The following is a 13,256-nucleotide window of genomic DNA, read 5'->3' as shown; positions in this document are numbered from 1 at the left end:
GCCAAGATTTATTGCATGCTAAACAAATTGAGTCTAAAGCTCATATAGAAAAATAAGTAAGAATATCCAGGAAATTTCTGAAAGAAACAAAAAGATTAATGAGAAGGTACCAGCCTTAGCAGATATTAAGACATAAATTCAATGTTAAGACATAAATTAAGACATGATGACATATGTCTTTAATTAAGACATAAATTCAATAACATAACCTTGAACATGAATTGACAAGCAATTCAATATTGCTAAATGGAAAGAATAGAACTTATCCCAAACATACAGGTGGATTTATTAAATAGTCAAGGTAGTATTTCAAATTCATGGTAAGAAAATGAGTTATTCAATAAATGGCATTATGCAATTGTAAAAACTCAGAGAAATGTCATCTAAAAAGTGTGAATTTTACTGAATGTAAATTATACATTTATCAACCTAATTTTCAAAATTAATGTTGGAAACACTGGATAGTTCTATAAAAGGAAGGCTGGACATCTATGTCATATTTTACACCAAAACAATTCTGGAAGGATCAAAGATTTAAACACTAAAAAATAAAATAATGAAAGGAAAGTACAAGAAAATATGAATGAAGCAAGACATGCCTAAGTATGACTAAAAACAACCAGAATCCACAAAAGAACAGACTGTTCATTCAACTACGTAGAAAATATTTCTCCCTAGAAAAAAACATTATAAGCAGAGTTAAAAGACAAATCAATTCTAGGAAAAATATTTACAATTTATAGCTCAGATAAATCATTAGTTTTCTTAATATACAAAAAGCTTCCATAAATCAATAAAAGTCCAACACCCCACACAAATACACCAAAAATGAAGGATGTAAACAACAATTCACAGAAAATACAACTTTGTCTTTTAAATATATGTAGAAGATACTCCATTTCACTCAAAAGAAAAATGCTATTCAAATATACTGAGATACGATTTTCATTTTTGGCACTCTGATAGCTAAGTTTGAGAACATACTCTCAGTAAGTGTGGAAAGGAATTACTAGCATCTATTACAAGTGAGAAGGTGTATATATTATAGAATCTTTATGAAATGTAATTTGAAAGTATATTTCAAAAATTAGGCATATATTCTTTGACACAATAATTTCATTTGTAGATATTTATCCTCTAGATATGCTCTCATGTGAACAAAATAATAAGCAACCTCAATATCCATCAATAGGAAACAGGTAAATTAAATTATGGTTCATGCATCCAATGAAAGACCATAGAGCTATAGAATCTCCTAAATAGAATGCTACCATTTGTAAGAAAAACAAGGCTGGGCATGGTGGCTCACACCTGTAATCCCAGAGCTTTGGAAGGCGTAGGCAGGCAGATTGCTTTAGCTCAGGAGTTTGAGACCAGCCTGGGCAACATGGCCAAACCCCATCTCTACAGAAAAATACAAAAATGAGCCAGGTGCGATGGCACACACCTGAAGTCCCAGCTACTTAGGAGGCCAAGGTAGGAAGATCATCTGAGCCCGGGGAGGTAGAGGCTGCAGTGAGTCATAACTGCACCACTGTACTCCAGCCTGGGTAGCAGAGTGAGACCCTATTTCAAAAAAAAAAAAAAAAAAAAGAAAGAAAAAAAAGAAAACCAATGTACGTGTGTACACATAGATGCTTATAAAGTCACAACATCTCCCTAAAAGCATGCCCAAGGAATTGAAAACCGTAGTTGCTTCTGGAAAAGAAGGCTTAAGCTTTGTTATATATACCTGTTAGCTCTTTCTAAATTTTGTAACTTGTATTTGAAACATTTATAAAATAAGCAAATTCCTCTATTATTATCTCTTCACCCTATTTCTTTATAGCATTTTGTACAAGTTACAGTTATGAAACTGCCATTATCCTAATAACTGCAGCTGACAGTGATTCTAATTACTTGATTCCTTGATCTTAGGCTGAGCCCTTCTAGAAGCCTCTCAGGGGTAAGTCTTTTTCATTGTGTGTCCCCAGCTTCTAGCTCAAGTCTTGCCACATAATTGGTGCTCAGCAGATTTGTCAAATGAGTGAATAAATTCAGTGCCATGTATAGATTTGAAATAATCTAGAGAATTCAAAGAGGAAGCATTCTAACTAAAGCCACTGGTCTGAGAGCGAGCACAGGTTAAAGAAGGAAAATCAACATTGATTTACCCAAATGTACCTCCCTGCCAATAAAATGTAATATTAAAATGGGTAGTAGCCCTTTCTATTTATTGAGTTTTTACTGTGCACAGAGCCCGGTAACTGGGCAGTTTACAAATCTCTGTCTCATGTATTACCCACAACAACTCCATAGCCAGATGGTATTTTCCTCTTTGTGAAAGTATAAACAGGGAAGCTAAGTGATGGGGGAGGCTGTGGAAGGGATCAGAATTTCAGCCTCATCCCACTGCTGGGTAGACATGTGACTTTGACCAATGTCACTGCCTCCTTTGGACCTTGGCATGATAGAGATGACAGGAACTACCTTCCCACCTACATCCTCTTCCAAGACAATCCTTCCCCTGCTCAGTCCTGTTGAAGGGGTGAGCTGAGCTGGTCGCATGTAGACAAGGGCATGGCACTACCCTGGCTTCAGCCAGGGAGGGGAATAGACCTACATTGGCAAGACAGAAATGGGCCTGGGAATCTGGGTTAGGGAGTGATATGGTTTGGCTGTGTCCCCACCCAAATCTCATCTTGAGTTGTAGCTCCCACAATTCCCATGTGTCATGGGAGGGACATGGTGGGAGGTAATTGAATCACGGGGGCGGGTCTTCCCTGTGCTGTTCTCATGACAGTGAACAAGTCTCACAAGATCTGATAGTTTTATAAAAGGGAGTTTCCCTGTACAAGTTCTCTATTTTCTGCTGCCATGTAAGACGTGCCTTTCGCCTTCTGTCATGATTGTGAGGCCTCCCAAGCCATGTGGAACTGTGAGTCCGTTAAACCTCTTTTTCTTTATAATTATAAATTACCCCAACTGAGGTATGTCTTTATCAGCAGCATGAAAATGGACTAATACAGGGGAGCCTATGAGGCTTAACTCATTTTGTCATGGAGAAGTGAATTACAGGGTTATGACGACCTATGCTGCTGACCATACTGGCCAATGCATAGGCAAAGACATCAATTTGCAATCCCAGAGATAGAAAGACAGACACAGACTCTTACAACCTGGTAACTTCTTGGTTCCCATGATATCTGGCCATATGTCCTGTAACATGGCACACATGTACATGCATGTCTATGGGGGTGTGTGTGAGAGAGAGATTTTTAAATATTATCATTAATACCCATCCAATTTTTAAGCGTCAAACAGTCTGAAAAGCAAAAGCCACTCTCATCTCTTTGAACCTCAGTCTCTCCCCAGAGGTTTACCACTCTTCCTTGTGCATCCTTCCTGAAAATTTATGCCTCGATATCATTTGGTTTTTGTATTTATCCAGACAAAATCACATAAGATGCAGCATGCTGTATTTTGCTTTTTTCTTCCTTAGCAATATATTCTCTTGGATAGAGAAAATTTGGTACATATACACCATGGAATACTGTGCAGCCATGAAAAGAATGAGCCAGGCATCGTGGCTCATTTGGATCACCTGAGGTCAGGAGTTTGAGACTAACCTGGCCAACATGGTGAAACCCTGTCTCTAGTAAAAGTACAAAAATTAGCCAGGTGTGGTGGCACATGCCTGTAATCCCAGCTACTCGGGAGGCTGAGGCAGGAGAATTGCTTGAACCCAGGAGGCAGAATTTGCAGTGAGCCGAGATCACACCACTACACTCCAGCCTGGGTGACAACAGTGAAACTCAGTCTCAAAAAAAAAAGAAAGAAATCATGTCCTTTGCAGCAACATGGATGCAGCTACCGGCCATTACCCTAAGTTAATTAATGCAGGAAGAGAAAACCAATTATGGCATGTTCTCACAAGTGGGAGCTAAACGCTGGGTACTCATGGACATGAAGATGGCAACAACAGAAACTGAGGACTGCTGGAGGGGGAAGGAAGAGAGGGGGAAAGGGTTGAAAAACTAACTATTGGGTACTGAGCATCACACAATAAACCCAGGTAACAAACCTGCACGTGTACCCCTGAATCTAAAATAAAAGTTGGAAAAACCCCAATATATCCTTAACATCTTTTCCTATCAGCAAGAACCCTTTTTTTTTTTTTTTTTTTTAAGATGGAGTCTTGCTTTGTTGCCCAGGCTGATCTCAGCTCACTGCAACCTCCACCTCTCGGGTTCAAGCAATTCTCCTGCCTCAGCCTCCCGAGTAGCTGGGATTAAAGGTGTGTGCCACTGCACCTGGCTAATTTTTATATTTTTAGTAGAGGTTGGGTTTCACCACGTTGCCCAGGATGGTCTCAAACTCCTGACCTCAGGTGATCCGCCTGCCTCGGCCTCCCAAAGTGCTGGGATTACAGGCATGAGCCACCGTGCCCAGCCTATCTTATTCTTTTTAATGACTGTAAGTTGTCCCATTGTTTATTACCTTCAATTATCTGCCAAACATCTATTGAGCTCTTTTTACATCTCAAGCCCTGCTTTAGGCACTTGCTTGGGATATTTCAGTGAACAAGCCAGAAAGATATTCCTGTCCTTGAGGAGCGGACAGTCCTATAAACTAACTTTGTTTTTAGTTTTGCATGTCACAAACCATCTTGTAATGGGCATCTTCCTGCTTATAATTTGGCCTTTTCTTTGAGAGAACCAGTAGGAGATACTTGCAGAGGAGGAATTGCTAGGTCAAGACAATTTGGAGAGCTTACTTAGCAAATATTCATCAAAAAGATTGCTGCTGGCCATGAGTGGTGGTGCAACACCTGTAGTCCCAGCAACTCAGGAGGCTGAAGCGGGAGCATCATATGAGCCCAGAAGTTTGAGGTTGCAGTGAGCCATGATTGTGCCACTGCACTCCAGCCTGGGTGACAAAGCGAGACCTTGTCTTTAAAAACTAATTTAAAAATAGGCCAGGCATGGTAGCTCACGCCTGTAATCCCAGCACTTTGGGAGGCGGAGGCGAGCGGATCATGAGGTCAGGAGATCGAGACCATCCTGGCTAACACGGTGAAACCCTGTCTCTACTAAAAATACAAAAAAATTAGCCGGGTGTGGTGGCGGGCGCCTGTAGTCCTAGCTACTCAGGAGGCTGAGGCAGGAGAATGGGGTGAACCTGGGAGGTGGAGCTTGCAGTGAGCCGAGATAGTGTCATTGTACTCCAGCCTGGACGACAGAGCAAGACTCTGTCTCGAAATAAGTAAATAAATAAATAAATAAATACATGAATAATAAATAAATATAAAAGATTGCCGCAACTTCCCCTTCCACAAACTGGGTATGAAAATGCAGTTTTCCCCCAAATCTCTTTAGTACTTGTGTTATGGGTCTTTTAAAAAATTTTCTCCAGCAATGTAGCTGGAGATGGAAGCATTCCCTGAATTGCAAGCGAGAGAGAACATATTTTTGTACAGGTGACGGGCTTTTGTATCTCTTTTTCTATGATCCACCTACTCATATCCTTCCTAAGGGTCTAAGGAGAACTTATTTTTGTCTTTCATTTGTATGGTCTCTTTGTAAAGTTAGGAAATTAGCCTTTTCCTATGCACTGTGAATATTTTTCCCCATTTTCCCATTTTTCTTTTGACTTTGCTTATGAAACTTTTCCTGCAGAGAAATATCTGATGAAGGTAACTATGTAAAAGTGAGTTTTTCCTCCCCTGGAAGTAGCAGATGATAAAATAACAATTGACATACAGGTTGAGTATCCCTTATTTGAACTGCTTGGGACAAGAAATACATGAGATTTTGAACTTTCTTCTGATTTTGGAATATTTGCATTATGCTTGCTGGTTGAGCATCTCACATCTGAAAATCTGAAATCCAAAATTCTCCAATGACCGTTTCCTTTGAGCATCAAGTGGGCACTCATAAAGTTTCGGATTTGCGGGCATTTTGCATTTTTGGATCTGGGAAGTTCAATCTGTAGTAATAAGTGACAATATTTCTACAGCTGGTAAGTGGCAGAGCTGAGATTCAACCCACATCCATCATGCTTCTTGCTCATCCTTCTTGCCTCTACTCAGTTTGACCTTTTATATATCAAATGCAAATGTTCTGTCTACATCTGTTCACTGCTCAATTTTGCACTTTGTTGCTTTGCATTTATAATTAAGTTTTTCTGCATCTGAGGGAGAGTCACTGATTAGTCTGGCACAGGGAGCTTCCCGTTCTTTGGCAAGGAGATTGTTCTGGAAGTTCAGAAAGAGGCACCTGAGTACGGTTTCTTGTCCTCTTAAACCGTGAAACAAATCCCACAGCTATATGGTCTCAAGCCAGTTCCACATTTGTTTCAAGGATTCTTACATGGTTAGCCTTGAGGGGTACTGAGAGGCCCCTGACTTCCCCAAGCCTGCCCCCACCTTGAATAAACTATAGCATTGGCTAACAATTCACCCCTGGATCCCTTTACTTCAGGCACTTAAAGTTGATGGGCCATTGGTACACAGACTGAAGTTGACAGGACTTAGATTGAAGTTAATGGGACATTGGTACACAGATTAAAGTTGATGGAACCCTGGTTTGGGACATTTTGCAAAAAGAAGTGATTGGAAAGAAAAGGCATAAGAAGTTCTGAAGAAGGCACATCTGGGTGGTCTAGGACAGCGGTCAGTGGTCCCCAACCTTTTTGTCACCAGGGACTGGTTTCGTGGAAGACAATTTTTCCATGGACGGGAGAAGAGGGAGGGAATGGTTTCAGGATGAAACTCCTGCTCCACCTGAGATCACCAGGCGTTAGATCCTCATAAGGAGTGTTCAACCTAGATCCTTCACACGTGCAGTTCACAACAGGCTTCACAATCCTGTGAGAGTCTAATGCTGCCACGGATCTAACAGGAGGCGGAGCATCGGCAGTGATGCTAGCTCACCCACCACTCATCTCCTGCTGTGCGGCCCAGTTCCTAACAGGCCACGGACCGGTACCAGTCCACTGCCCAGGGGTTGGGTACCCCTGGTCTAAATGGTAGGAGCTCACAGAAGCATCTAGGCCTCCCGTTCCATCATGCAGCCTGCATGTTGGCTCTGGGCCATGGTCTCACATTGGTCATCTCATCATCTTATTTAATCCTCACAACCCCCCTGTGAAATAGGTATTATCATCTTGATTTTTCAAAAGAGCAAACTAAGGCTCAACTATCTAAGACCCACAGATGGTAAGCAAGGAAGGCAGGATTCAAAATCAACAGCTGAACTCCAGAGCCTGTGCTCCCAACCAGCCTCCAACCAAGCTCACCACCTCCACTGAGGCTCCAAGTGTCCGAGGGAGGGGAAAAGTACCAGAAGAAAGAGACTGAGAAGAAAGCCCCGAAGCCATAATGCTAAATAGACGCTTGATCTACTTCAGTTTTGCCTAGATACAGCCATCTGCCTGGGAAGTATTTTCAGTTTCATGACGGAACTGGAATTGGCCCATGCTGAGCTATGTTACTGTTAGTTCAGTTGCTGGTTCCTGTTTAAAGATTACCTTGTTTATTTATTTATTTTAAGAGACAGGGTCTTGCTCTGTTGCCCAGGCTGGAGTGTAGTGGCACAATCTTAGCTCACTGCAGCCTTGAACTCTGGGATTCAAGTGATCCTCCTGCCTCAGCCTCTCAAGTAGCTGGGACTACAAGTACACACTACCACATCAAGCTAAGTCTTGTTTTTAATTTTTTGTAGAGACAATGTCTTACTATGTTGCCCAGGCTGGACTTGATCTCCTAGCCTCAAGCGATCCTCCCGCCTCGGCCTTCCAAATCACTGGGATTATAGTTGTGAACCACCACGCCCTGCCTGAAGATTGCCTTTTGATGCTCAACATCAGTAATAATTAAATGTATGCAAATTAAATCAGCAGTACCAAGTTATTACCATAAGGTGACAAATAAGGGAAAGAATAATACTTGTGTATTAATTCTGACAAGGTTGAAGTGAAATTATAACCCAAACACACTGGAGGTAGCATTGTAAATTTTGATTATCCCTTTGAAAGGTAACATTATCATATGGAAAAAAAAATGTATTGCTATTCCTTAGGACTTTGACTAGGGAAATATTTTAAGCAATTACAAAAATTATCTGTGTTTCTGTGGTGTTATCTAAAATGGTGATTTACATTAAATTTACAACAATAAGACATAATAGTAATGCCTATGAACATTATGTAACCAATATTTTCTGCCTTTTAAAAAAGAACGTGGGAAGCCGAGGCAGGTGGATCGCTTGAGCTCAGGAGCTCAAGCCTAGCCTGGGCAATATGGAGAAACCCCATCTCTACAAAAAATACAAAAATTAGCCTGGCATAGTGGTGCATGCCCAGTAGTCCCAGGTACTGGGGACCTGAGGTGGGAGGATTGAGCCCCCGAGTTTGAGGCTGCAGTGAGCAGTGTTCACGCCACCACACCCCAGTCCTGGGCAAAAAAGTGAGACCCTGCTCAAAAAGAACAGCAGAATACAATGTATATGGACACTATGATTATTAAATATGTATGTATGTGTATGCTTATCCACACAGACTGGACTGGACAGACAGTTACATGAGGCAGGAGGTACAGGTACTGGATTGCCCATGCTGTTCCCACTTCTTTTTTTTTTTTTTTTTTTTTTTTTTTAAAGACATGGTCTCTCTCTGTTGCCCAGTCTGGAGTGCAGTGGCATGATCTTGGCTCACTGCAACCTCTGCCTCCCAGGTTCAAACAATTCTCCTGCCTCAGACTTCCCGGCTAACATATTTTTTGTATTTTTTGGTAGAGATGGGGTTTCACCATGTTGGTAAAGCTGGTCTTAAACTCCAAACCTCAAGTGATCCACCCACCTCAGCCTCCCAAAGTGCTGGGATTACAGGCTTGAGCCACTGTGCCCAGCCTGACCCACTTCTGATGTCTGTCTGTTTTCCCCACTGACTTGTCAGACACGGGGTCCAAGAGTATTTTATTTCTTTTTCGTCTTGCTATGTTACCCTATCTGTTTTTCCTCCACCAGCATCTATGCCTCCTCCTCTGACTTCTCCCAGAGGTACATCTTCTCGCAGGTGGGACTGGCCAGCAAGACGCGTCTTCTTCTTTTTTTTTGAGACGGAGTTTCTCTCTTGTTGCCCAGACTGGAGTGCAATGGCGTGATCTCAGCTCTCTGCAACCTCTGCCTCCTGGGTTCAAGCGATTCTCCTGCCTCAGCCTCCCAAGTAGCTGGGATTACAGGCATGCACCACCGTACGCAGCTAATTTTGTATTTTTAGTAGAGTTGGGGTTTCACCATGTTGGCCAGGCTGGTCTCAAACTCTTGACCTCAAGTGATCCACTCGTCTCGGCCTCCCAAAGTGCTGGATTACAGGCGTGAGCCACCGCGCCCGGCCGACGCTCCCTCTTATGTAGCCACGAGGAAGGTGGAAGACACAGCTAGATTTCTGGATTCCTCTCTTCAGGAGCCTAGATCTGCATTTCAGGGGCATGGAGAAAGAAGATATCTACCACCAGGACTGGGTAAGTGGGAGAAGCACCCTAGGGAATACTCTCCTTGGTCAGGGGCAACAAATGAAATGTACTCACAACATCTAGGAAAGATACTAAATGTATTATGAAGAAAAAAGAAACAATTTACCATTTAACTAGCATGTAATTTTTTTTGTGCCAAACAAAGCAACATGCTGCATGCCGATATGGGCATATTAAAGGATGCATATCAAATGTGCTGGTGAGGAAGGAAGTGCCTAATTGCGGAGATAACTATGAGGGAGATGAAAGAAGGAAAAGAAATTGGGAGAGAGGCTTTGGAAAGAGCAAAACAGTTGTGTGCTATGAACGAGGGACTCTCCAACTTCACTCCCTGCATCTAAGGCCAAAAGAAAACAACTTATTCCTTCTTGGCATAATTTAGGTTGTTTCTATTGCTTGCAACCAATGAAACTGATGGACTGCAAGATATGCTATGGCAAAATACGGCACATTGGCACTTGAAAGAGGAGCCAAAGCAGGCCATAGAAACTGGGTGACTTTGCCTTAAAAAGTAGGTGATTAAGATCCTCATTCCAGAGGGTCTTCTATGTATTAGTATACATACAAGAAAGGAATGTCCTCATCTGTGAAGACACGGAAATACCAAGAAGAATGTGGACAAACAGGCCTTGCTAAGTTTCTCCCGGTTTATTACCGTTAGATCAAACCCATCCTCTTTTGTCCAATCCTACTTCTGCATGACTGTCCCCTCTTCATCAAACCCAAGCACAAATATACAGTTTTCTGTGGGTCTTCATTTCTGAAGGCTCCTGTGATGTGTTAAACAAATTCAATAAATGTATATACTTTTCTCTTGTTAATCTGTCTTTTGTAATTGGTTTCTCAGTCATGAACCTGCAAAGTTAAAAAAGATAGTACCTTTTCTCCCCTACAAAACAAAACATAGTGGATGACATAATTTTCAATAATAATATTTAAATGCAGAAGAAAAACAGATTCTCTTTTGGCTCAAATCAGACTTCACATCAAAACTAGAAGGCTGAATACAGAAAGATGTCCTTTCAATACATCTCACAGTTAACGGAGTCCTGCCTTCTCTCAATAAAATAATCAAGGACACACAGCTCATGTTTATGTTACCCAACAATTGTTTGGTGACTTGTGGTTTATAGGGAAGAGCTCTCATTTTTGCTGACAGAATTACTAAGCCTTTGGGTGGCTGAGCAATAAATGATATTGTCTATCTGCTTTCTTTTTCCAAACTTAAACAGAAGGCAATCTGCCCCAATCCAAAGACAATTATTAATGACTCCCATGGCTGCGTGATTCACTTGTGATTTTTGCCCTGTCCAAATCTCATCTTTTCTGTTACTGACTCAATTGTTTTCTTTGCATTGATGCAAGATTAACAACAACAGGGCCTCCCTTCATCTTGTTCTATGTAATAGTGTTGCACAGCAAAGCATTGGGTTTGCTGGTTAGTGGTTCTTCTTTTTTTTTTTTTTTTTTTTTTTTTTTGTGAGACAAGGTCTTGCTCTGTCACCCAGGCTGCTGGAGTGCAGTGGCACAATCACAGCTCACTGCAACCTCGACCTCCTGAGCTCAAGTGATCCTCCTGCCTCAGCCTCCAAGTAGCTGGGACCATGCAGGCATGTCCCACCTCACCTGGCTAATTTTAAAAAAATTTTCATAGAGACAGGGTTTTGCCATGTTGGCCAAGCTGGTCATGAACTCCTGAGCTCAAGTGATCTGCCTGCCTCGGCCTCCCAAAGTGCTGGGATTACAGGCGTGAGCCACTGCACCTGGCCTGCTAGTTTTTGTGACACATATTAAGACATAATTGTGCTCATCTCTATGCCAGTTAGAATCATCTAGATGCTTTCACTTTGTGAAACTAGTTTGATTTTTTTAAGTTTTTTTGGGGGGTAAGTCCTCAGCAAATGACTCAAAAACGAGTCACGAAAATCCAAATAGTGGTTATCTTTAGTGGGTATGAAGGGAGTTAAGTGGAGGAGGTATATGAGGGGTTTCTGGGGTGCTAGAACCTTCTATGTCTTTACCTGGATGGTTACTACATGGGTGTACACTTTATAATTTATTAAGTTGCACATTTATTTTATGCACTTTTCAGTGTGTGGGTTATGTCCTACAATAATAAGCCTTTTAAAAACATTGCATGGCAAAATTCTGTTGTATTTTCCTTCCAAGAAAAGAATTGGGACAACAGTTCCAATGGTCAGAGAAAGGCCACACTTTGATTTTTCACTTATTCTTTATAAAATTACAGGTGGGGAAGCCAAGTAGGTGAGAAGCCTTATTTTATCTGGAAAATTAGACTTGTGGAGATAGCAGGGAAATAGCAAAAGGAAAAGAGAACAACTTGACAGACGTGAGTTGTGTTCATAGGTTGGGAAGGAGACTCTATCACTACTCCGTTATACCTTCAAAAAGTGTAGATTATTGTTTCTATTTCTCCCCTAACATAGAATCCTGTGGTTGTCTCATGTCTAAAACGTAAAAACCAACCAAGATTTTAGGCAGTCTTGTAAACAAGACCTATTTCTGTTAACCTCTCTAATTCACAATTGAGAAATGCTCATTTGTTTTTTTCTTTATGGAGTTCAGTATGATTATTCTCATGGAGAAAGAGCAAGACTATAGATTTTTTTGACTCCAGTTCACACATCTTCCATAAGGACCAAGGAAATATTTTCCATGGAACAAACACACCTACTCTCTACCCTCATGAAGGCAGATGCTTGAGAAGTTAGAAAACTATGTGTTTCACAAAACATTTAGCCTACAGTCATCAGAAAACAACAGCTATTCTTGTCTTCAGTCCTCAATATTATTAGTGAAGAGAGAGAGAGAGACAGAGACAGAGACAGAGAAGAGAGATGGGGCAGGCTAGACCCTGGCTATAGTGGTCGCCTAATTGGCAACAAAGCATCGTTGAAACTCTGAAGTTCACATCTCTGCATTGATTCACGAGGCACCAGAAACTCCCATTAATTTTGTCATAAACCGATTAGAGCTGGTACACAAACTCAAGGGTCTCAGTATTTAGAGAGACAATGAATAGCCACCCAAATCCCAATACGTTCCCCAGTAAAACCCACTGGGAAACTCTGAATAAGTTCACAACGAGGTGACATTTGAAATTCCCTGCAGTCTCATATTTATCCACATACATCCAGGAAATAAAAAAAAAAAAGAAAGAAGAAAAAGAAAAAAGAAGGGTAGCCAAGACAAAGTGCCAGCTACCCATTCCTGGGACCTCTTGCTTGTTCCTAAGAAATAGGCTCCAAGAATCTTGTAAAGGGCTGACCGTCCGGCCGCCGGAACAGGACAGAGGTCGCGGGGAGTCGCTTCACTTTCCCAAATCAAAAGAGGGGAAAGTAAGTGAGAAAATCTCCCGAGTTCAAACATTCCTTTAAACTCCACAACTTTAAATACTAACTGCGTTTCATGGCTGCCATCTTGAAAAACATTAGTTTGCCAAAGACGCCCTTTGATTCCCATTTGGGATGGAAACGCTTGCAGATAATCCATTGAAACAGGTCCGCACAAAGGCCTTTTCGCAACAATCATGGTGCTTGTGAAGGACAACATTTTTGTGCGCAAAATAAAACATTTTAATGCGCTACAATCCATTACACATATAGCCCTCCATTTCCTTTCAGTAATTATTCATTAGAAAACATTTAACGTCACTGTGGATTTCACACTAGGCAGTCCGGACACAAAGAACAAGAGATGGCCCATTTATAAGGGGCTGGGG

The 13,256-nt window shown here is 41.5% G+C and overlaps 1 protein-coding gene across 2 annotated transcripts in view; it reads right to left on the bottom strand.

Moving 5' to 3' along the window:
• Nucleotides 1–13,256, bottom strand: part of MYO1H (myosin IH) — a 137,912-nt gene that overhangs the window by 75,573 nt on the left and 49,083 nt on the right. The gene's annotated exons all lie outside the window — the stretch shown is intronic.

Source organism: Homo sapiens, chromosome 12, assembly GCF_000001405.40.
Source record: "Homo sapiens chromosome 12, GRCh38.p14 Primary Assembly".
In the NCBI taxonomy this organism is placed as follows: Eukaryota; Metazoa; Chordata; class Mammalia; order Primates; family Hominidae; genus Homo; species Homo sapiens.
This window is presented reverse-complemented; position numbering and strand designations above follow the sequence as displayed.